Source organism: Homo sapiens, chromosome 10, assembly GCF_000001405.40.
Source record: "Homo sapiens chromosome 10, GRCh38.p14 Primary Assembly".
In the NCBI taxonomy this organism is placed as follows: Eukaryota; Metazoa; Chordata; class Mammalia; order Primates; family Hominidae; genus Homo; species Homo sapiens.
In genome coordinates, this window is record NC_000010.11 from 66,851,427 (window position 1) to 66,877,103 (window position 25,677).

The window sequence follows — 25,677 nt, forward strand, 5'->3', positions numbered from 1 at the left end:
TATTTGTCCCCTCCCAAATCTCATGTCGAATTATAATCTCCAGTATCGGAGGTGGGGCCTGGTGGGATGTGGTTGGATCAGGGGGGTGGTTTCTCCTGAATGGTTTAGCACCATCCGCGTGGTGCTCTACTCATGATAGTGAGTTCTCATGAGATCTGGCTGTTTAAGTGTGTGGCATCCCCACCCACCTCTCTCTTTCTCTCACATACACACACACACACACACACACACACACACACACACACGCCATGTGATATGCCAGCTTCCCCTTTGCCTTCTGTCATGATTGTAATCTTCCCATGGCCTTACCAGAAGCTGAGCAGATGTCCAGTGCCATGTTTCCCGTACAGCCTGCAGAACTATGAGCCAGTTAAACCTCTTTTCTTTATAAATTACCCAGTCTCCGTTATTTTTTATAGCAGTGCAAGAACGTACTAATACACCAATTAATGAGTGCAATAGATACATTTACTGACTGCTCAAGTCTCACTCCATGCTTGACCATCACCCCATGCTTGATCAACTGGGCAGTTGAAATCTGAATCAAAGACAACAATGGGATGAAGTATGGCTTGACAACTGGCTGAGGAATGAGGATGAGGTTCCAAGCCAAGGTGGAGCCCAGGAATACAGTGTCACGATAAAGGTCAAATGATTCCTTGCAAACTTACTCATTTACATTTTGAATGGTTCAATTGAACATTATGATAAAAAAGCTCAATTCAAATGGTCATGCAAAAAGTATGGTACTTGATTATATTTTATTTTATGGTACAGGTACCTTCTACTATTTCTTGATATCATATGTTATTACTGAAATTCAATGGCTGACATGGATATCAACTTGAATATAAACAATCTGATGGAAGGACATTTCTCTGACACCCCTCATATTTCTCAATATGGTACAATCTGTGATTATACAAATATTTGTTATTAGGTTAGTGCTAGACTATTAGGTCTTTGTGAAGTACAAATCTAAAAGAAAGCAATATATACTTGTGTTCAGAAATATATTCAAGAATAAAACATAAATGCCAAGAACTAGTCTTTCAAAAGGCAATAGGTACAGGAACAAAAATTTGAATATTCTCAAAAGGATAAATATTGTTATTCATGAACTGATAGCAATATTTAAATGGTATCATCTCCTTTGCAGTGACATAATATAAGCTAAACACTGGGGAGACGCATGAAGAATGTTAAAATGTATTAATCTTGCAGAATATACTGTGGCATATTTTCTAACACATATACTCAATAGTGAAATTGATCATTTCAATTTACCAATACTTGTAGTAGTACTGTAAAACATAAGTTTACATAAAAATCTCATTTTTAAAATAAAAGACACTCCTGCTATTGGTAAAATTTGTTTTTATGAATTAAAAAAAACTTCACACTGGGTTTTTGAAGCATTGCATTAGCAGTAATGTTTTTGTTAATTTAACTCCTCATCCCTTGTAACATTTCAAAAATTCACCACTAGTCATAATTCTCTTAAGAAAATAAAAAGCAGCTTTGAGAGCTATAGTTAGAGTTTAAGACAGAGGTCAGCCAATTATGTTTGACCATGTCTGGCTGACCATATGGCCAAATCTGGCCTGCCACCTGTTTTTGTATGGTTCATGAGCTAGAAATGGTTTCACATTTTTAAAGAGTTGAATAAAACTTAAAAATATACTATTTTATGATACAGGAGCACTATATGCAACGCAAATTTTATTGTCCATAAATAAAGTTTTATTGAACCATGGCCATGCTCTTTCATTTATCTATTGTCTATGGCTGGTTTCATGCCATGCAGTACTTGCAGCAGAGAGTATATGGCTCACAAAGGCTAAAATATTTATTATCCGGCCCGTTAGAGAAAAAGAAAGTTCTTATCTATAATTTCTGAGAAGGAAATACAAATTAATTAAGCTTTGCAAAATGAAAAATTAATTCCAGATAACTCTCTTTTATGTGCAATTAGTCAATTGGAACATTCTACGTTCAAGTTATATATATTCCCAGAACATGCAAGCACATACTCAACTTAAAAGTCATAAATTCAATAACACTAACTTAAAACAAATTTTCCACCACAATATTTAGTGTTATAATTTTAACACAAACCAATGAGCAAGATACTACATGCCAGATGTGACCTGAAAGTAACAACCCGTTGGTCAGAAAAAACTCACTGGACTGTGTAATCTCTAATAAGTACGAAGTGGTGATATCTAAAGCAAACAGAATAAAATCACTCTTTGTGGTAATCAGAATGACTTTCTAAACAAATGTTAAGACAAAAAAATTCTGCCGAACCACCAAGGACATCCCAAGCAATCATTTTATTTTTCTCTCTGCTTTGCTATTAGAGGCTATCTGAGCATTGTTTCTTCTAGATATTGAGAAAAGTACATAATTTCTACTAAGTATGCTACATGCATTAGTGTTCCCTTAATGATTACAAGTTGTAGATCTGCTAAGTGCATCCTGAATGCACTGAATGTGCAATTGTTTTGCATAAACGTGAAAAGCAGAGATTCTAAATAAAAAGCCGCTATTTAACCATTTGCGATTATGCTATCATCCCACACCATCGCATGTAAATGCACTTTTCTATTCTCTTTCCAGTTGCTAAAGTAAATGACCAGGAACAGAGAAATGCCCTCATTTCTTATTTATTGGTCACTTACTTCCTTGGCTTGCATATAAAATCAAACCATCCATAAAATCCCTTTAAAAAGTTGACACATTTAGGGATCAAATTATTTCACACAAAATTGAGATATTTCCAAAAATAGGCATGTTTTGAAGAATATCTCACATTACATGTGCAATTGAGTTCTTTTCCTGTCCCAGGTACAGATTTGTTAGGTGATCTTAATCAAATTGTTGCTTTCTTCATTCACTGCATACTATTCCTTTGGCAAATATGTTTCTGCCTTGATAATGAACTAGGTACTATGTGAAGTGTTATACAGAATAAAAAGATGAATCAGACATAACTATGATCTCTAGGATTCGACAAACAAGTAAAAGTATTAATCATATATATATATGTACAAATAACGGTGAGGTAAAAAATGCTGAGTGCACCTAAGAGAGGTGCAGATAAGATATTTTGGAAAGTCAGAGGGAGAAGCCATTACCTCCAACTGGGAAGATCCAGGAGGAATTTATTGGTGAGGCTGCATTTGAGCTGTACCTTAAAAAATGGTTAAGAAGAGTAAATTAAATTGACTGACAAGGGCATTTCACAAACTGACAGGTATGCAAATGACAGGTAAGAATGTGGTAGATGTGTGTGGGTAAAGAAGAAAATGTCATTTTTTTTTTTTGTCCATAGGCTTGGATGTGTAAAGTGGAGCAAGTTATAGTTAAATCTAGAGACATAGCATGAGAACACGAAGATAGTGCGGTCTGGAAGGAAGCATTGGACTCAGACAGATATAAGTTAGAATTATGGCCCTGGATACTGGCTGAGTATACCAGAGTACTTTACTTAACCTCTAAGTCTCTTCTAATGTCTAGAAATATTACATAACTTGCAAGGTCCTTGTAAAGATAAAAAATATATATATGCACATTTTATAACACAATGTCTGGCACATTATAGATGTCTAATAAATAATAGCTATTATTGTGTCAATATTATATTGAATAACAGGCTAAAAGTTTTAGATAGTGCTGTAAGAAGTTATCACACTCACTATGGAAAGTACCACAAGGTTAGCAGTTTCTGAAACTAGGAACTATTTGGAAACTAAAGCAGTTGGAGAGTTAGCTAGTGTTTTCAACTGGGACTGCCCATTAAAATTATCTAGCGATCTTTGTAAATCGTGGCATAACTAGGCTTTACCACAGAACAATTAAATCAAGATCTCTATCCGTGGAGCCTGGGCATAGTACTTTATAAAAGATTCCCAAGGATTTCTCAAGCATACCCAAAGCTGAGAGCTACTATTGCTCTAGATACAAGTTGTTACAATTAATATGATAAGTGTAATAAGTCCAGCAAAATATATTTTATGATCATAACTTGAGTTATTTTCACTCTGCTACACTAGTGAATGTCACTTTTCTAGATGGCCTTTCTCTGTCATAGTCTCCTGTTTGTCCAAAGACCCATTTAGCACCAAACAGGACCCAACACAATCAAGGCCAAATCCATGTTTATTGAATGGTGAATAATATCACTGACTCATATTATTACCATTCCCCATTAGATCAAAGTGACAAGATGAAAAACAATATAAGATAGGTACCATGTAGCAATAATTAAAATATTTATATTTTGATCCTTGTTTTCTTTTTCAAAAGCTATCTTGCATTAAAAGAGCTAAAGGTTCACATCATGTTCTTAAGGGTTATAGTAAGTAATCAGCTATGCCTAAAAATTAACATCATGAACCAACACATGCAAGGGTAAGTGCAAGACTAGTAACACATGTCTTCAGCCTTATCAATAATATTATCAATAATATCAAAGTAGTGGTCAACCACCTGTTTTCATTTTTTTAACTTTTATTTTGAGTTCAGTGGTACACATGCAGGTTTGTTATGTGAATAAATTGCATGCTTCAGGGGTTTGGTGTACAGATCATTTTGTCACCCAGATAATAAGCATAGTACCAGATAGGTAGGTTCTAAATCCTCACCCTCCACCCTAGAGTACACCCTGGTGTCTGTTGTCTCCTTCATTCTGTCCGTATGTCTGTAATGTTTAGTTCCCACCTGTAAGTGAGAACGTGTGGTATTTGGTTTTCTGTTCCTGTGTTAGTTTGTTTAGAATAATGGTCTCTAGCTCCAACCATGTTGTGGCAAAGGACATGATATTTTCTTTTATGACTGCATAGTATTCCATGTTGTATATGTACCACATTTTCTTTATCCAGTCTGCCACTGATGGGCGTTTAGGTTGATTCCACGTCTTTGCTATTGTGAATAGTGCTGCAATGTGTGCATGTGTCTTTATGGTAGAACAATTTATATTCCCTTGGGTATATAACCAATAATGAGATTGTTGGATTAAATGGTAATTCTGTTTTTAGTTTCTTGAGAAATCACCAAACTACTTCCCACAGTGACTCAACTAAATTCTCATCAGCAGTGTATAAGTATTCCCTTTTCCCTACAGCCTCACCAGTAACTGTTATTTTTTTACTTTTTAAATAATAGCCATTCTGACTGGTATGAGATGGTAAGACATTGTGGTTTTGATTTGCAATTCTCTAATGATTAATAATGTCGAGCATTTCTTCATATGCTTGTTGGCTGCATGTATGTCTTCTTTTGAAAAGTGTCTGTTCATGTCCTTTGCCCATGTTTTATGGGGTTGTTTTCTGCTTATAAATTTGTTTAAGTTCCTTATAGATTCTGAATATTAGACTTTTGTCAGATGCAAAGCCTGAAAATATTTTCTCCTATCCTGCAGGTTGTCTGTTTACTCTTTCAATAGTTTCTTTTGCTGTGCAGAAGCTCTTTAGTTTAATTAGGTCCCATTTGTCAATTTTTTATTTTGTTGCAATTGCTTTTGGCATTTTTGTCATGAAAATTTTTGCCAGGGACTATGTTCAGAATGGCATTTCCTAGGTAATCAGCCAGGGTTTTTGTAGTTTTAAGTTTTCCATTTAAGTCTTAATCCGTCTTGAGTTGCTTTTTGTAAATGGTATAAGGAAAGGGTCCAGTTTCAATCTTCTGCATATGGCTAGCCAGTTATTCTAGCACAATTTATTAAGGGAGTCCTTACCTCATTGCTTGTTTTTGTTCATTTTGTCAAAGATCAAATGGTTGTAGGTGTGCAGCCTTATTTCTGGGCTCTCTATTCTGTTTCATTAGTCTATGTGACCGTTTTTGTACCAGTACCATGCTGTTTAGGTTACTGCAGCCTTGTGGTATAATTTGAAATCAGGTAATGTGATGCCTCCAGCTTTGTTCTTTATGCTTAGTACTGCCTTGGCTATTTGGACTAATTTTTTTTTTTTGTTCCACATGAACTTTAAAATAGTTTTTTGTAATTCTGTGAAGAATGTTTTTGGTAGTTTGATAGGAATAGCATTAAATCCGTAAATTGCTTTGGGAAGTATGACCATTTTAACAATATTGATTCTTCCTATTCATGAGCATAGGATGTTTTTCCATTTGCTTATGTCATCTTTGATTTCTTTAATAAGTGTTTTTTAATTCTTATTGTAGATATCTTTCGCCTCTGTGGTTTTCTGTATTCCTAGGTATTTTATTGTTTTGTGGCTACTAATTCAAAATTTCATTCTTGATTTGCCTCTCAGCTTGGCTCTTGTTGGCGTATAGTAATGTTAGTGATTTTTGTACGTTGATTTTGTATCCTGAAACTGCTGAAGTTGTTTATCAGATCAAGAAGCTTCTGGGAAGACACTGTGGGATTTTCTAGATATAGAATCATATTGTCTGCAAACAGGGATAGTTGGACTTCCTCTCTTTCTATTTGGATGTCTTTAATTTCTTGCTCTTGCCTGACTGGTCTGGCTAGAACTTTCAGTACTATGTTGAGTATGAGTGGTGAGACAGGGCATCCTTGTCTTGTTCTAGTTTTCAAGGGAAATGCTTCTAGCTTTTACCCATTCAGTATGACGTTGGCTGTAGATTTTTTTTGGGCTGTTATTATTTTGAAGTATGTTCCTCCAATGCCTAGTTTATTGAGGATTTTTAACATGAAAAGATGTTAAATTGTATCAAAAGCCTTTTCTGCATCTACTGAGATGATTTTGTGGTATTTGTCTTTATCTCTGTTTATGTGATGAATCACATTTATTGATTTGCATATGTTGAACCAACCTTGCATCCCAGGGATAATGCCTGCTTGATCATGGTCGAATAGCTTTTTGATTTGTTGTTGGGTTTGGTTTCCTAGTATTTTGTTGAAGATTTTTGCATCTATGTTCATCAAGGATATTGGCTTTAAGTTTTTTTGTTGTTGTGTCTCTGCCAGGTTTTGGTACCAGGATGAGGCTGGTCTCATAGAATGAATTAGAGAGGATTCTCCTCTCCTCAATATTTTGGAACAGTTTTAGTAGGAATAGTACCCGCTTTTTTATACATACAGTGGGTACAATTCCGCTGTGAATTCATCTGGTCCTGGGCTTTTTCTGGTTGGTAGGCTTTTTGTTAATGATTCAATTTTGGAGGTCATTATTGATCTGTTCAGGGATTCAGTTTCTCCCTGGTTCAATCTTAGGAGTTTCTATGTTTCCAAAAATTTATCCGTTTCTTCTAGGTTTTCTAGCTTGTGTTCATAGAGGTATTTGCAGTTTTTGTACTTCTGTGGGGTCAGCGGTAATGTCCCTTTGTCAGTTCTGCTTGTGTTTAGTTGGATATCCTCTCTTTTTTCTTTATTAGTATAGCTAGTGGCCTATGTTATCTATTCTTTCGAGTAACAAACTCCTGGATTTGTTGATCTTTTGTATGGTTTTTCACGCCTCAATTTCTTTCAGTTCAGCTCTGATTTTGCTTATTTCTTATGCTCTGCTTTGAGTTCAACCATTTTGAAAAACTGCATTCCAGATTGTATTTTATCTAGACCCCATATATAGAGATCTTTTAAAAAGTTATTTCATGTTTCAATAGTCCTACAATAACATTTTGTGGGGTGATGCATCAATCATTGTTATGATGTTAAATTTAATAATAATTTTACAGAAAAACACTTTTGTATTCAAATGTATAATAGGGAATGTTGAAGTATGCTGAGGAATATGGAGACTGAGGAGTGTGTATTAAGAAAATCCCAAAGGACCCATAGCTTCTTAGAATTTGAAGGCACTTTCGAAAAGGCAACCTACAAAATAGGAGAAAATTTTCACAACCTACTCATCTGACAAAAGGCTAATATCGAGAATCTACAATGAACTCAAACAAATTTACAAGAAAAAAACAAACAACCCCATCAAAAAGTGGGCGAAGGACATGAACAGACACTTCTCAAAAGAAGACATTTATGCAGCCAAAAAACACATGAAAAAATGCTTACCATCACTGGCCATCAGAGAAATGCAAATCAAAACCACAATGAGATATCATCTCATACCAGTTAGAATGGCAATCATTAAAATGTCAGGAAACAACAGGTGCTGGAGAGGATGTGGAGAAATAGGAACACTTTTACACTGTTGGTGGGACTGTAAACTAGTTCAACCATTGTGGAAGTCAGTGTGGAGATTCCTCAGGGATCTAGAACTGGAAATACCATGTGACCCAGCCATCCCATTACTGGGTATATACCCAAACGACTATAAATCATGCTGCTATAAAGACACATGCACACGTATGTTTACTGCGGCACTATTCACAATAGCAAAGACTTGGAACCAACCCAAATGTCCAACAACGATAGACTGGATTAAGAAAATGTGGCACATATACACCATGGAATACTATGCAGCCATAAAAAATGATGAGTTCATGTCCTTTGTAGGGACATGGATGAAATTGGAAATCATCATTCTCAGTAAACTATCGCAAGGACAAAAAACCAAACACCACATGTTCTCACTCATAGGTGGGAACTGAACAATGAGAACACATGGACACAGGAAAGGGAACATCACACTCTGGGGACTGTTGTGGGGTGGGGGGAGGGGGGAGGGATAGCATTAGGAGATATACCTAATGCTAAATGATGAGTTAATGGGTGCAGCATACCAGCATGGCACATGTATACATATGTAACTAACCTGCACATTGTGCACATGTACCCTAAAACTTTAAGTATAATAATAATAAAATAAAATAAAAAGAATTTGAAGGCACTTTAGAGATAATCTAAAAGAATTGACTTCTTACAATTTGAATGGACTTTAGAAATAATCTGGCAGAATTTCTTGCCAAAATCAAGAAATGCCATTTCTCTTGAAATCTAATAGCGAAGAAGAAAAATTACTTGCTTCTTTGTAAAAACATCGAAAAACCTACAAAAATATCAAAGTTTATTTCCAACATGGAGGCCTGGATTTTGGGACTTCCTTATTAAATCTTAATATATTGACAGCACTTGTAAGGACCAACCTCATTCAAAAATATAACAAACAGATGGCAAATTCTACAGTCGGCAGAAGTAATGGGGGTATTAAAATGCTAGCAGCAGTCTCCCTCATGGCTCTTGTTTTGACAGGTGTCTACTCAGGTGCTTGTGTTTTCTAAGCAATGTTTCTCTGTTCCTGTGTATAAGCGGCCCTCACCTTTTTATGAGTATCTATGCCATTGCAGTATTTGCTATACATAAGACAATCACAACCATTAAACTGTCTCTAATCCTTTCCTGTTGTGGTTATATAAATTATTTGTTTACACTGAGAGTACATGAAATTTTTATAGGCACAATCTAGGATTGCATCTATCCAGCTTTCCTCTCCAATAAATTTTTTGTAAATATTCAAACTCATATATGCCTCAATGTAACCACATTGTAAACCCTATCTGTTGCTTTCACAGAAACCATTCAAGCTGGATAAATGGCCCACCTCATAGCCCAGGGAAGAACTCAATGATCAGATTCTAATTATCTTTCTTGGTTCACTTAATAGCCTTCTCCTCTCTCATGGGGGAGGCCAGGGATACCCTGAAAATGTGGTCTCAGGGAATTCATTGCAGTCATGTCTTCTTAAACATTCATATACAAATGATTCCTTTAAAGTTATTCATACAATAAAATGTCCTAGACACTGTGTTAGGATACTATGATGAATACTGAGGGTGCTATGATGAATAAAGGCAGTCACTGCCCTAAAAGAACTTGCATTAAAAACAACAATAAACAAATAGGAATTACAGTAGAACCTTGAATAATATTGTTCTTGGTCAACATTGTTTTGTTACAACATTGATAAGGAACTTCCCACTGGGGCCACTGTCTGTGTGGAGTTTGCACGTTCTGCCCATGTCTGCATGTGTTTTCTCTGGGTACACCAGTTTCCCCCACATCCCAAAGCTGTGCACATTCGGTTCACTGACATATTAAAACTGTCCCCGTATGAATGAGCATGGGTGTGTGTGAGTGAGCCCTGCATGTAATGGAATGGGGTCCTGTCCTGGGCTGCTTCCTGCCTTGTGCCTGAGCTGCTGGGTGACACTCCAGCCATCTCAGACCCTGAACTAGAATAAGCAGGTTGAAAAATGAGTAAATGAATGAATGGATAGATGGATACATATTGTAAAAATTCATAAATTATGTGATAATCATACAACCCTACAATAATAAATGATGTGGCACAAAAGTGCTTACTGAGCCCATCATATTTGTTGTTTGTTTTTGAGCTGTGTGGTGGTAGGAGGTGCTTCTTACAATTTTCACTTTTCAGACAATTATTCCTTGATTTAACCCACCACTATGACCACCATCACTCACTGATTCACCAAAATTTGGGTAAATAATTATCTTACTTGTTTCTTTAATATTTCTTAAATGTATGTATATCTCACATTCATTTCAATGTTTAATATTAGAAGTGGTGTGGGTTATTTCTTTAGAAGTTTGGTGATGTTAGCCAGCCACTGTGGGTCACACCTGTAATCCCAGCACTTTGGGAGGCCAAGGAAGGCTTATGACCTGAGGTCAGGAGTTCAAGATCAGCCAGACTGATATGGTGAAAAACCGTCACTATTAAAAATACAAAAATTAGCCAGGTGTGGTGGCACATGCTGTAGTCCCAGCTGCTCGGGAGGCTGAGGCAGGAGAATCACTTGAAGCCAGGATGTGGAGGTTGCAGTGAGCTGAGATCACGCCACTGCACTCCAACCTGGGCAACAGAGCGAGACACTGTCTCAAAAAGAAAAAAACAAAAAGAAGTTTGGTGATGTTTTTGTGACCAGAAATATGCTTAAAATCTTAACTCCTGTTTATATCAATTAGCTTTGTGATAAAATTGGCTTTCATTATATGTATGCTGCCTAAAGTTACAGTTTCTAAGAACTTATCAGTGATGTTAAGTGAGGATTTACTGTATGTCAGATAAAAATATGAGGTATGAATAAAAATAACATACATTAATAGATACAGAGAGTGACTAGGGCAGGGGATACTACTCTAGAATGATGGTCAACAAAGGCCTGTTTGTGGAGGGGATATGGAACAGAGACTTGAAGGTAGCAAGAAGGTCATTATCAAAGAGAAGACTATTCTAGAGAGAGAAAAAAGCTAACAAAGTTTGAAGACCAAAGTGTGCTGGGAAAAAATGAGAAGCAAGAAAGACAGAATTACTGGAGCAGAAAAGGAGTGGAGGACAGTAGTAAAAGATGAAATTCGAGAAGTTTGGAGCTGACATGGTTAATTTTACGTGTTAATGTGACTAGAACAATGGTTCCCAGCTGTTTGATCAAATATCATTCTGAGCATTTCTGTGAAGGTGGGTTACTGGCCGAGATTAATATTTGAATTGGTAGATTGCATAAAGCAGATTGACTTCCCTAAGGTGGGTGGGCCATATCCAATCAGTTGAAGGCTTAAATAACAAAAGTCTGCCCTTTCCCAAAGTAAGGAAAACTTTTGCCTCCTGACTACCTGTGAATTGAGACAGTAGCTTTCTCCTGCCTTTGAACTCAAACTGAAACATCAGCTCTGCTTGAGCTGCAAGCCAGCCATCCTTGAGACTGCAATGACACATCCATTTTTCTTGTTCTTAAACCTTTGGACTCAGACTGGAAGGACATCATTGACTTTCTTGGGACTCCATCTTGCTGACTCACCTGCAGTTCTTGTAAATTAGCCTCCATAATCACATGAGCCAATTCTTTACACACACACACACACACACACACACACACGCACACACATATATATATATAATACAATATATAATATATGTATTCATCCTATTAGTTCTGTTTCTCTGAAGAACCCTGACTAATACAGAAGCTTAGGAGTAGTATGTTCTACTTACTATTTAAAAAATCATCCGCTATATGGCATGGTCAGACTGCAGTGGGATGGGACAGGGATAAAATCAGGGAGAGTAGCTAAGAAGCTTTGCAATAATCCAGGCAAGAGACAAATTTGTGGCTTTTACTAGGGAGGTAGTGGTAGATGTAGTGAAAATTAGTGAAAGTCCATATATATTTGAAGATTGAGCCAACAGGATTTGCTGATGAGGAGCTGGAGAAGATGAAATAAGTTGAAAATTATCTCACAGGCCTTTTGTCCTTGGGCCAAAACTGGAGGAATAGAGTTTTCAGTTTCTGAGATGGGAATGGCTTGAGCTGATTTGCAGGGCTAATTTGAAGTTCAGCTTTAGAGCATTTTATTTTGAGAAATGTACTGGAAAAGCAAGTAGGGAGGTTGAATAAGCAATCAGGCATGTTAGTCAGAAGTTGAGAGTGAAATTTAGCAACAGGGTGTCTAATTGTGTCACTAGGAGGAGACCTCCTAGTGATCTGGTGTGGACATAGAAGATTTCTTCAGAAACGGGGGTCATCTCACATAGTTGGTAAGAAATATTTCATAATTCATATAGCACCTAACAAAATATAGTTTATCACAGAATTCAGTCATATGTAGAAATGGCATTGAGGTAATTAACAGCTTTTCTGTTTATTTTGTGTCAATTTCTACCAAAATCCTACCAAATCATAAGCTGCTTTACTTATTTCATGAGTCATATTAAGGTTATTCAAGTATGTGATTAATGTGTATGATTTTCTATGCCATTATTGTTTTTAGATTATATAGATCTAATAGGCAGATAGCTCATATGCTATGGTTGGAATATGTTTCCCAAAGATCATGTGTTGGAAACTTAATGTCCAATGCAACAGTGTTGGGAGGTGGGGCCTAATAAAATGGGATTAGGTCAGGAGAGCTCTGAACAAAGGATTAATGTTGTTATCACAGGAGTTGGTTAGTTACCATGGGAATTAGTTAGTTATCATGAGAGTGAGTTTGTTATCAATGTAAATTTTGCCCCCTCTTGCTCACCTTCTCTTGTACTCTCCTCCCCTTCCACCTTCCCATGTAATGACATAGTAAGAAGGCCCTCATCAGAGGACAGCACCTTGATATTAGTTCTCCCATCCTCCAGAACTATCAGAAGTAAATTTCTTTTCTGTATAAATTACCTGGTCTGTGGGCTTCTGTTATAGCAAAACAAAATGAGCTAGGACATCATATTAACATACACTAAAGAAATTATTCTGATAATTATATTTTGTAGGCTAACCTTAACTTGAAATTTGACTCTAGCTAGTCATCCCTATTTTCTATCTTGATCTGAAATAATTTATTTTGGTTTCATTATCTATAAAAAAAAAGTTTCTATTTTGCAACATTGCAAACACTGCAATAGAACGTCTCATACTCAAATTCTGTTATAGAGTGCTCATTAACATAGATGTAGCTTTTAGATATTTTATGTAGACTTAGATAAATTAAATAGCTTCCCAATATACATAGAAAACCTAAAATACATATATATTCTTTTTATGCCCATGAAAATGCAATATAAAATGTCTGTTATAAAAATGATTGTTATATTAAAATACGGAATTGTATACATTTAGATATTTTATAGGATAATGAAATTGTTTTGCTTTTTCTCCTCAGCAGTTAGAGTGGCATATTTTAGAGAAAAACCATAAAATATTGGAAAGAGAAAAGGATTGAGGGTCCCAATTATGCAACTGTTGGGATGACACCAAAAAAATCATTTAACCTCTTAAGACATCATTTTTCCATACTTATAAAATACAGATATTGAAGTAGATTGTTAATGTTCTTTATGAGTCTAACATTTATGAATGCTATCATTTAACAGGCATGGGGTGTGTGTGTGTGCGTGTGTGTGTGTGTGTGTGTGTGTGTGTAAATGCAGTTCCAAAAGGAAGTATCATTTTACTCCAGGCAAATTTTCATTGACCATATTTTATGCAAGCTACATAGTAGAAATACGGTCAGAGTACGTATTTCTATCATCATGTTAAAAAGACATAAATATAAAGGTGCCAGCATTTTGTCAGTAAATAATCAGAGAATCAGTCCTGAACAGTAAATTCGAGTATGTGTGCTTTTATCACAACCACAATGTTTCATTAATGTGTTTTTTCTTGCTGAATATTCTCGATTCCTTGAAATAAATTTTAATTAGCCACTTTATGCATATAATTTTCATATTTTCATAATTATACTTAATTATGCTCTTGGCACAATTTATGTAATCAAATAATTGCCATATGCAATTATATTATATAAAATATGTAAACGTAATGGAAAAAATCACAGAAGATGTATTCACACAAGATATTTCCTTTTTCATTTTCAGCTATCCACATTATTTAGTATTGATTTTAACAATATTTATTTTTAGCTCAAATCACTAGATATCAAAGAGAAGATTATATTCTTAAGGGGAAAATTTGACAGTGATTCTGCATAGAGATGGTATATTATTAAAATACACCATAAGTTGAACATTTGAATAAAAGTAATATGTAATATGCATTTTTTCAGGTGGTTTTAGGAAAAATAAAATTTACGTTTTGCTTTTACCCTTAATATTATTGATTTGTAATGTGTTAATTTTATTTATAGCTTTATACATTCTTATCTATACTCTTAATTGCCTATACCTAAATATGGAATCACAGAAATGCAAAAAAATCAAAGAAATTAAAATAAATATAAAGGTTATCTAGGTCATATCCACCTAACACTACACCTTGAGAAAATGATGTCCTGGGAATTTGACTGACTTCACATAGTCACAAAGCTAGTTCAGTTACTTCACATAGTCACAAAGCTAGTTAACAGCAGGACACAGCCTAACCTCAGGACTCCTGCCTGTCAGTACAGGGCCTTGTCCTTCTATACCAAGAGGATACTCAGTTCAGCACTTATAGGACTGTGTTTTCAATGATCTGCTTTTGTTTTTTATCTTCTTCCCTTGATTGTGAGATCTCTGAAGAAAGAGATTAGGTCTTCACCTTTGCATCCTCCACTAGAGCTTAGAATGTTGCCTACGCATCATCATAATTGCTCAACATCTAGCTTTTTGGAGGCTTTTATTTTGTGCAACTTTTGTGACCATTTTACAAAAATAAGTAATTGTCTCCTCATCTATTTTGTGGATACACAATGAATGTTGACCTAATGACAACTGGTTGAATACCTTATTGCAAAATTGAGACTTAATATTTGAAACACGTATTTTATTTGACTCTACAAAATATAAAATGTGTTATGTACACATCTACCAAGAACTCACACTGAATGGTAATTGTAGGGTATTGGGTAGGAGCCACGAGGTATTATAAATTTTCTGGCACTCCCATGGCAGAACTGTTTAAATGATGAAATTTCATTTATAGCAAAATTATCCTAACTCAAACACTAGTGAAAAGGAAAAATAAAAAAAGAAAAAGAATAGCTGATAGACAGAAAACTAACATGACTGATATGGTTTGGCTGTGTCCTCTCCCATACTCATCTTAAATTGTAGCTCCCATAATTCCCAGATATTGTGGGAGGAACCTGATGAGAGATAATTGAATCATAGAGGTGGTTTCCTCCATACTGCTCTCATGGTGGTGAATAAGTCTCATGAGATCTGATGGTTTTATAAGGGGTTTCTCCTTTCCCTTGGCTCTCATTTTCTCTCTTGTCTGCTGCCATGTAAGATGTGCCTTTCACCTTCTCACATGATTGTGAAGCCTCCCTGGCCACGTGGAACTGTGGGTCCATTAAACATCTTTTTCTTTATAAATTACCCAGTCTCAGGTATGTCTTCATCAGCAGTGTGAAAACAGAATAATACAATAACTATATACATTTTCATTATCTTCAGCATGCAAGTTTTCTCTCTGAAACAACTCAAAAACTCCATGTGTATTAGCATTTTGTTATTAAGTAAATGCTCCTCTGGGTTTCTGTCCTGAGGTTCCACAGGGTGGACATGCTTTTATTTTGTTTCTATTGAATAATTCACAGAAAGTTATTAATTGACTAACACCAAACCAATGACAAGGTTGAAGCTCTTAATTGCATATTGTCCTCACATTTGCAAATGGGAAATAAGGCACTGCCCAGGACATTCCAGGGGGAGATACAAAGAAGGATAAACTGAGGCTCTATTAGCTCTCACATTCTGTGTTATTTTTATGGAGTGTAACTTTGGCTTCAGAGGATGAGGGTACAGAGAGGAAGAACATAAAGCACCTGACTCCTCGCCTCTATTTTCTGAGGTAGATTGCTCTTCTAGCCGAGACTGAAATAAAAAATAGCTCTCACGTCTAAGTTCAAGCCTCACCATGTCGTTATTGGGAACAAAAAGCAAGTATCAATGAACAAAATAAACAAAATACTCTGAACATGCAATATGAGTCTACTATATCTCTTAAAATCAATATTTTTCAATGTACAGATACACATTTACATTTAAAAAGAATAGTTCCAATTGTCATTCTCTTCACGTGTCTGCCACACAAAAACTTTTTACCATTACAGATTAAGCCAAGGCACTACCAAAAAAAAAAAAAATTAACTTAGTAGGAAGAATTGCAAAATGCCAAATATTTTTCTGCTTTAAATTTGAATGTTTTTAATATTAGCATGTACTTTCATTAAGGAGTGGGCCTACTAGATACACTGAAGGTATTTGAGTATTTATGATAATAATAATGATTGCTATATAAAACTATAATTAGCCAGGCATGGTGGCTCATGCCTGTAATCCCAGCACTTTGGGAGGCTGAGACAGGTGGATCACCTGAGGTCAGGAGTTCAAGACCACCCTGACCAACATGGTAAAACCCCATCTCTACTAAAAATACAAAACATAGCCGGGCATGGGGGTGTGGTAGCTAGCACCTATAATCCCAGTTACTCCGGAGGCTGAGGCTGGAGAATTGCTGAAACCCAGGAGGCAGAGGTTGCAGTGAACCGAGATCGCGCCATTGCACTCCAGCCTGTGCAACAAGAGCAAAACTCTGTCGCAAAAATTAAAAAAAAAATAAAAAAAACTGTAATTAATAGACAAACACTGGCAGAGCAGAGCTGCACTGTCCTGGGCTCTGTGTGTTGACATAAAGAGTCAAACAAGGCCAGGCACAGTTGGTCACGCCTGTAATCCCAGCACTTTGGGAGTCCGAGGCAGGTGGATCACTTGAGGTTGAGTTCGAGACCAGCATGGCCAACATGGTGAAACCCCATCTCTACTAAAAATACAAAAATTAGCCAGGCATAGGGGTGGGTGCCTGTAATCCCAGCTACTCAGGAGGCTGAGGCAGGAGAATCGCCTGAACCCAGAAGGCAGAGGTTGCAGTGAGCCAGTATCAAACCATTGCACTCCAGCTTGGGCAACAGAATGAGACTCCGTCTCAAAAAAAAAAAAAAAAATCAGACAAAGTGCCTACCTTCAAAAAACTTACTGTGAGCATAGAGGAGACAAAATGGCACACAAAATGCACTTGACACTATGAAGCATTAGTGCTAAAAGCTAAATAAAAGTTAGAGATGATGAGCTCATAGGAGTTTTAAAATGCTAGAAGAAACAGAAAAACTTTTCTGGAGAAAATGAAACACCATGGGCCTTAAATAAGAGACAAAATGTAAATTCACAGGTTGCAAACTCAAATGCCTATCAAAGTCAGCTGAATATTGCTGGGTAGGAAGGTACCTACAGTGTTACCAAATTTTTCAAGAGAATCTAGAATTCTAGTTTGACATGTAACAAATACTGACTTTTTAAATAGTGTCAATTAACTCAAACAATTAAGTGCTGTATAAGCCAATAAAAACACTATATAATTATGGTCTGCCTGATTTATATTTTTTGTCATGTCCTCAAATATTAGAACAGGGATGAGATGGCAAGAGAAACTGCATGAGCTACATGGCTGTGATGAGACCGGATATAGTTAATTTAAAAGAACAATCAGGGCTGGGTGTGGTGGTCACACCTGCAACTCAGCACTTTGGGAGGCCGAGGCTCTTGTTTTTCAAGACCAGCCTGAACAACATGGTGAAACCTCATCTGTATTAAAATACAAAAATTAGCCCAGTGTGGTGGTGCACACCTGTAATCCCAGCTACTCAGGAGGCTGAGACATGAGAATCACTTGAACCCGGGAGGCGGAGGTTGCAGTGAGCCAAGATCATGCCACTGCACTGCAGCCTGGGTAATAGAGTGAGACTTTGTCTCAATACATTAAATTAAATTAATAAATAAAATAAAAGAACAATCAGAAGGCTGGTGCAGGAGGTAAGTAGTAGAGGAGACAAACTGGGGTCAGGTTGGAGATTATTTGGGGCATGAATAAAAGCATTTATATTGATTCTGGAGGCAGATTAGAGAACAAGTACATACAGAGGTGTGAGAGGCTAAGTGTATCATCTTGAATAAAGTCAAACTTCTCTTTGTGTTGGCATTCATCCTGTCTGCCAAGTATAATAGCTGAGTGTAACCCAAGGCATTTTAGAAATGTTAGAAGTGTCAGGAACCATGTACCACACATAGACCTCAAAGCAATGTTGCTATATTAGTCTTTTTTCTTTAACTTACCTGTAATCATAAAATATTGATTTAAAAACCAAGACTACTAATATTTCACAACACTATATTCACTTCTAACATACTACTGTCAGGTTAACATTTGATAATTCCAATTAAAAGGGTTTAAAATTTTTATAGGATTTACCATGGCAGTATCCCAAGGAAACATCGTACCACCCAGCTTGGCCAAGCACCTAGGCCATGTTTCAGCTGAGAATTTTTTTTTAAACTTCATTATATGAACATTTGGTGTCTCCTATAAACTGACAATCCAGTTTGTTAGAGATACAATATGCAAATTAGGAAATTAGCAACAATTTCTGATGCTAGTCATTACTATCCTATTCTCCACTTCAGATTTGCAAAAACGCAATGATGCAGTAAACTATACCAACGGATGTTTTGCTACGGCTATTAATGGACAATATTTTATTGTAATGTTAAATTTACTGCAAAACTTGGGAATTTACAATAGCATACATTATCCTACACAATCTAATATAATTCAATTTCCTTTGTCCTATGAGAAAAACAAATAAAGGCAAAATATATTGCAAACATACTCACTTGTGTGCTAACTTTACCATCTTATTAACTATTCAGTCAAATTCAGTATCACCCCAAATGCTGTGAACAAATTTCATATTCTTCAATGGGAAATTGAAGAATTTTTGGACTTCATAATATTGGTGAACATTCTAAGCTTTAGCCATGTTTTTCTGCTTAATCTAATTTCACCATCTCTCCTCTGTTCATTGATTATTCCTATTGTTACTCCACACACTGATGCCTAACTCCCACTCAAGAGGTACTAAGTGTATCAGAAGCCATTATTGTAAATGTGCAGTTCAAATTTTTTCCTTTGCTGCACATTTGTTTATGATTTTCTTTGTAGGGCCCTTTGACCATAGATTCTCATACCTAAATTCAACAACAAAGTCAGAAGTGCTTTTGTTTGGAACACCCTCACCATTGTCCTGAGGAGTCTACACAGAGCTAAAAAACCACTATGCAAAAGTTCAAGGGAAACCAGTTGATGCACTGTGGACTGAAGGCAGAAGCTGCTGACTTCTACATTTCAATAAAACTATTATGAATTGCATTTTAGAAAAAGGGCTTTGTTGCTGGTTTGTTTTGCTCTGCTGGTTTTGTTCATGTGTTTGTTTGTTTGTTTGCTTGATTGCTTGTTTAGAGAGCTAAATTACTTCTGTAAAACTCATTGGCAGAAAGCAGAGGGCGAATAAAGCTGACCATCTTAGGTTGAAGAAAATCATATAAACACCAGGAGAGCATCATCAGGTAATTTGTATTCTCTGATTTAAGCTATCACTCTGCTTTATACAAAGAAATTTAGGCTGGGCGCGGTGGCTCATGCCTGTAATCCCAGCACTTTGGGAGGCTAAGGCTGGAGGATCACCTGAGGTTGGGAGTTCGAGACCAGCCTGACCAACCTGGAGAAACCCTGTCTCTACTAAAAACACACAAAAAATTAGATGGGCATGGTGGTGGGTGCCTGTAATCCCAGCTACTCGGGAGGCTGACGCAGGAGAATCTCTTGCACCTGGGAGGCGGAGGTTGCGGTGAGCTGAGATCGCACCACTGCACTCCAGCCTGGGCAACAAGAGTGAAACTCTGTCTCAAAAAAAAAAAAAAAAAAAAAAAAGTACTCAACAATATGTTTTTCTAATATTAAGTACATATGGACAAAGAATTCCCATCAAAATTTGGAGATAAAAGCGACAAACTTACAAAATGAAGTGCTGTTGAAGTACATGTACTGTTCTGGAATCTTTACATTGAACAACCACAGAAAGATAAATGTCAGAGAGGAGAACTCATCAATAACTGGCATCTATTAGGGATTTTGAAATAATCATAAATGCCAGAGTTTAAAAGGATAATTTTCTTTGACTATGCTACTATCTCATAATTTTATACGATAAATTTCATGCAAGTATTTCTGACTCAGTCAAATCAATCTTCATCTTTACTGGACAAAAATATTCTGACCAATAAATTTTGCACACAACTATAGTATTATCTATATTAGCACTGCACAAGGTATAAATTCTGAGACTATATTCTCTATTGAAACACTATCAGCCAAATTCATTTTATAGCCCAATGAAAATAGGTGATTTTATAACAAAACCCTCCGTAACATACTTTTAAAATGTCTATCCACCTGGGAACTAAACATCCATTAAAATGCCCAAATCCTAATCTTCATGATCTTTGCTTATTTGGAGAAGCAATTTATTTTTTGTTTTTGCTCTTTGCATAAATAATCTTATTTTATCCATGCTGCAGGTGTTGTTAACCACATTTTATGTATGAGGAAGCAAGACTCACAGAGGTTAAAAACTTTCTTAATTTCACACAGCTATTAATTATAAACATCAGGACACAAATTGAGATTTTTCTGATTCTAGAGTTTATGTTATTTTTCAAAAAAATAATTTTCGCTGGGTTCAGTGGCTCACACCTGTAATACTAGTATTTTGGGAGGCCGAGGCAGGTGGATTGTCTGAGCTCAGGAGTTCAAAACCAGCCTGGCCATCATGGTGAAACCCCATCTCTACTAAAAATACAAAAATTAGCTGGGCATGGTGGCGGGTGCCTGTAATCCCAGCTACTCAGGAGGCTGAGGCAGGAGAATCACTTAAACCCCAAAGGTGGAGGTTACAGTGAGCCGAGATTGTGCCACTGCACTCTAGCCTGGGTGACAGAACGAGACCCCGTCTCAAAAATAATAATAATAATAATAATAATTTCAACTTTTATTTTTGATTCAGGTGGTACACGTGAAGGTTTGTTACATGGGTAGATTGTGTGATGCTGACATCTAGGGTGTGGATATTCCTGTCACTGAGGCAGTGAGCATAGTCCCCATAGGTAGTTTTTCAGCCCATACTCCCCTCCTTCCCTTCCCTGTCTAGCAGTCCTCAGTGTCTACTGTTGCCATCTTTATGTCCATGTACACTCAGTGTTTAGCTCCCACTTGTAAGTGAGAACATCTGATATTTGGTTTTCTGTTCCTGTGTTAATTCACTTAAGATAATGGCCTCCAGCTGCATCCGTAATGCTGCAAAGGGCATAATTTCATTGTTTCTTATAGCTACATAGTATTTCACGATGTATATTACCACATTTTCTTTATCCCAATTCACCATGGATGCACACCTAGGTTGATTTCATGTTTTTGCTATTGTGAATAGTGCTGTGATGAACAGAGGAGTGCACGTATGTTTTTGGTAGAATGATACCTTTGGGTATATATACCCAGTCATGAAATTGCTGGTTCAAATGGTAGTTCTGCTTTAAGTTCTTTAAGAAATCTCCAAACTGCTTTCCACAGTGGCTGAACTAATTTATATTGCCACCAACAGTGTATAAGCATTTCCTTTTCTCTGCAGCCTCAACAGCATCTGGTTTTTTTGTTTGTTTGTTTTTTGTTTTTTTTTTACTTTTTAATAATAGCCATTCTGACTGGTGTGAGATGGTGTCTCATTGTGGTTTTGATTTGCATTTCTCTGATGTTTAGTGACAATGAACTTTTTTTTTCATGTTTGTTGGCATCTTGTAAGTCCTCTTTTGAGAAGTGTCTGTTCTTGCCCTCTGTCCATTTTTTAATGGAGTAATTTGGTTTTTGCTTGTTTCAAAGAACCCAGAAATAAAGCCACATAACTACAACCATCTGATCCTCAACAAATTCAACAAAAATAAGCAAAGGAGAAAGGACGCCCCCATTCAACAAATGGTGCTGGGATAACTGGCTAGCCATAGGCAGTATAATGAAACTGGACCCCTACTTTTCACCACACACAAAAATTAACTCAAGATGGATTAAAGAGTTAAACGTAAGACTTCAGGCTATTAAAAATCTAGAAGAAAACCTAGGAAATATCTTTCTTGACATGGATCTTAGCAAAGAACTTATGTCTAAGTTGTTATTTATTTCCTTCTCTTCTCAGGGGCTTCTTGATGAAAGGATGAGTTAGTCTGGATTCTCCAAGAATCAGATGCCAACACAGGATTAAACATGTAAGCATTTTGAGCAGGGTAGGAAAGGTACCAGAGCTACCAGATTCAAGTCTGATGCAGAGACAGTGAGGGACGTTTGGGTGGGAGCCTCCTAGAATTCACATTCTAAAGAAGGTTAATAAAGCCATTTGGGAGTCCTCAAGTCACAGTCATTCAATGAGAGGGGTCCATGAGTCTCAGGAACAAGTGTACCTTAGAACTCCTGCTGTGCTCAGTCATTGTCTGTGAACAGCCCTCAGAGAGCATGGCCAGGGTACAAACATAGTGATGAATATCAGAGCTCAGCAGCTGGAAACTCTGGCCAACTACCGCCTCCATAATTGGAGGACCATTAGGTGTATTCACAGGGCTGCAAAAAGGAACAATTCCCAATTGAACCTCTTACAAGTTTTGTCATATTTGGAATATTATTAATCTCTCTGAGTCATATTGAAAGAAAAGAACTGTTATAGAAATAAATGTAATAAAATATGTGACAGTACCTACTGCAGTACCTATGCAAAGATATTAGCTATTTGTTTTCCCTCTAACATCCAGTTGATTGCCTGTGTACAGTAGGTGGTTAAGTAAAGGTATTATATTTAAACATGTATACATAAATATACGTAAGAAAAAACTATACCCACATGCAGTATGAATATAACTTCGTTTCAATTTCTCTGTTTAGAATTTAAAGAATATTTCTACTGAATTTCATGTTTTCTCTTTAAACTGAATTCATCCTGGTATATACCAATCTATATAATTTTCTTTTCTACCAAAAGAGGTATTTGACCAAGTGAAGTACTAGACTGACAAGGTTCTGTCTCTTAAAAACAAACAAAAATTACACATTTCTTTACCTGCTGTGTTTATTCGTTCATTTATGTTATTCATTCAACAAATATGTAAAACTCTGTGCTGGAATCCATGCTAGGGAACCAGAAACAGACACTATTCCTACTTCTGCCTCCATTTGGCTTACAGTCTAGTAGGAAGAAATACTTTAGCCAAGGTTCACGCAAACAAACCTGAAACTGCAGCTGCCACAGTGCTATGAAGGACAAGTGCAGTCTGTAATGAGATCCTATCATAGGTGGATTAGATGCAGCCAGGGAGATCAGCAATCGATTGCTAGACAAGTGGTGCTGATGACGAATTTGGAAGGTAATAAGGATAGGAAAGAATGTCCAAAGCAGAAGAAACAAATTACACAAAGTCCAGTGGTGGGAAGAAAGATGTGGGAGAAGTTTCGTGTGGAGAACAAATAGGAGAGGAGCAGGTTGAGAAGCTGCAGACATGAGGAAGGGCCAGGAACATAGTGGTTACATAACTGTCCCAAAAGGCTACAGCTGAAAAATAAACCTGGGTCCTATTCATGGATTCTCATCACACTGAATGAATTACCAGTGTCCATTTTGTCACTTTTGCTTTTAATCACTGTTATTTAAAAAAAAAAAAAAATAGAAGAAAGTAAATAGCAGAAAACAGGGAAAATATCAGTCAACCAGTTCCAAATCATTCAATAGTATTTAAATGGCATAAGAAAAGTGATCAAAACTACCAAAACAGGTTAAGCCTCACTTGCTTTAAGCCTCTTGCTGATTCAATCTATCAATCCAACATCTTAATTATTATTGGACCATATGGAAGGTAGTTATTCAATAATACGACAACATAATAAAAAGCTTTAAAATAAAAAAAATAGTAAATCTGCTAATCCAATCTCACAGAGCAAAACATTTAAATGTCATTTGAGATATTATTCTCAGTTAAGTATCCTATTCCTGTGCTTATGGCATGACAATCCGATTCATGCAATTATTGTGGAGAAAGAGTAGTAAAAAGAAGCAATCATCCACTGGCTCAGAGACCACTATCATAGCTAAGACACCCTATGGATTAAAAGAGTCCTTAAAGCATAAGAGCACATTCAGAGTTTTATGTACAGTATAAATGCTTAGCTGTTTTTCAGTGTCAGGTGCCTACAGATTTGTGGTGTGTGGCTCATTGGCTGACGTGTTAAATCCCCAAAGGTTACATCAAGCAGGCCCAAGACTTGTTTAAGAAAAATTGAGACCATGCCCTCAGTCTCTTAAGGGAGTGATATTACTAAGCAGAATACATAATAAATATCTGCCTTCTTCCAGAAGAAACAGGAAATATTTTCCTATTTTCCTTACTGTTATTTCTTCAGGGAAAGATCTGATAGTTGGTAAAATGGGCCATAGGGTAGCTTCACTAAGCATTTCTAAGAATTCCGCTCTGAAAACTTGTCGGAAAAGAAAAGCAACAACAACAAACTAGTTAAACAGAAAACTGAGCATATATTAGGATAAACAACGAAACAGAAAGTGCTAGGCAAATCACTAACTCTCCTAGGAAATTAAATGAAATTGAGATAAAGAACATTTGAAAGAAAGCCTTTGTATTAATTTTGTTTGGAAAACCAGGTATTGTTGAAGAGTCACCAGATACTTCTAAAAGTCACTATTTCATTTTAAAATGCATCTGCCTACACAATATGCAATCCTTATTTGACCTAATTCTTTCAATAATTCATTAGAATGACTTTTGTCAAGAATGTAATGTGGATATATCCTTATACACATTTATATCCATGCAAATCAAATTTTAGAATATGTTATAGTCTTCAACTCACCTGCAGCCATGATTGAAATCTGGGCCTTATTAGAATTTTTTTTTAAATTAGAGAAATTCTAAATTCGGCCCTAACAATGTTTAACCTTAGCAGGATCAAGAAAGAGTATGGTTGCTGCCAGGTGTAAAGAAATGCAAAGATGGGCAAGCAAGCAGGAGCAAGGGAACAGAAATAGGAACAAGAGGAAAAAGACAAGAAAGAGAAGTCCCCAGGCACAGATAAGGAGGAAAAAGGTAACTTATAAACAGTTGTTCTGTGACATGCAAACTCTGGAGATTCTTATTAGGTTCTCTGCATAAACCTTTGCTTTCCTCAAGAACAGTTTTGTTTATTTTGTTCTTTTAAAGACTAGAGTGAGTTACCTGGGAAGCCCTGAGTCACATAATTCAAAAAGCAGTATTGCTCTCTGCCTTTCTCTGAAGACGCTCAGGACAGAGAAATGGACTGAGCTGCCTGACTTTCTTACCTCTGCATCACCTGGCACCTGTCTTTCCC

General features: G+C 36.4%; 1 protein-coding gene across 7 annotated transcripts in view, besides 1 other annotated feature; it reads right to left on the reverse strand.

Moving 5' to 3' along the window:
- CTNNA3 (catenin alpha 3) overlaps window positions 1-25,677 on the reverse strand; it is a 1,851,072-nt gene that overhangs the window by 938,904 nt on the left and 886,491 nt on the right. The window lies entirely within an intron of this gene.
- Window positions 9,502-9,671: an enhancer, noted in NCBI's record as "experimental_15534 CRE fragment used in MPRA reporter constructs". NCBI's record gives its function as "activates a minimal promoter by MPRAs in K562 erythroleukemia cells, with activity observed for the introgressed 10:68620771 variant allele {active_cell/tissue: K562}" and the evidence as "EXISTENCE:reporter gene assay evidence [ECO:0000049][PMID:34662402]".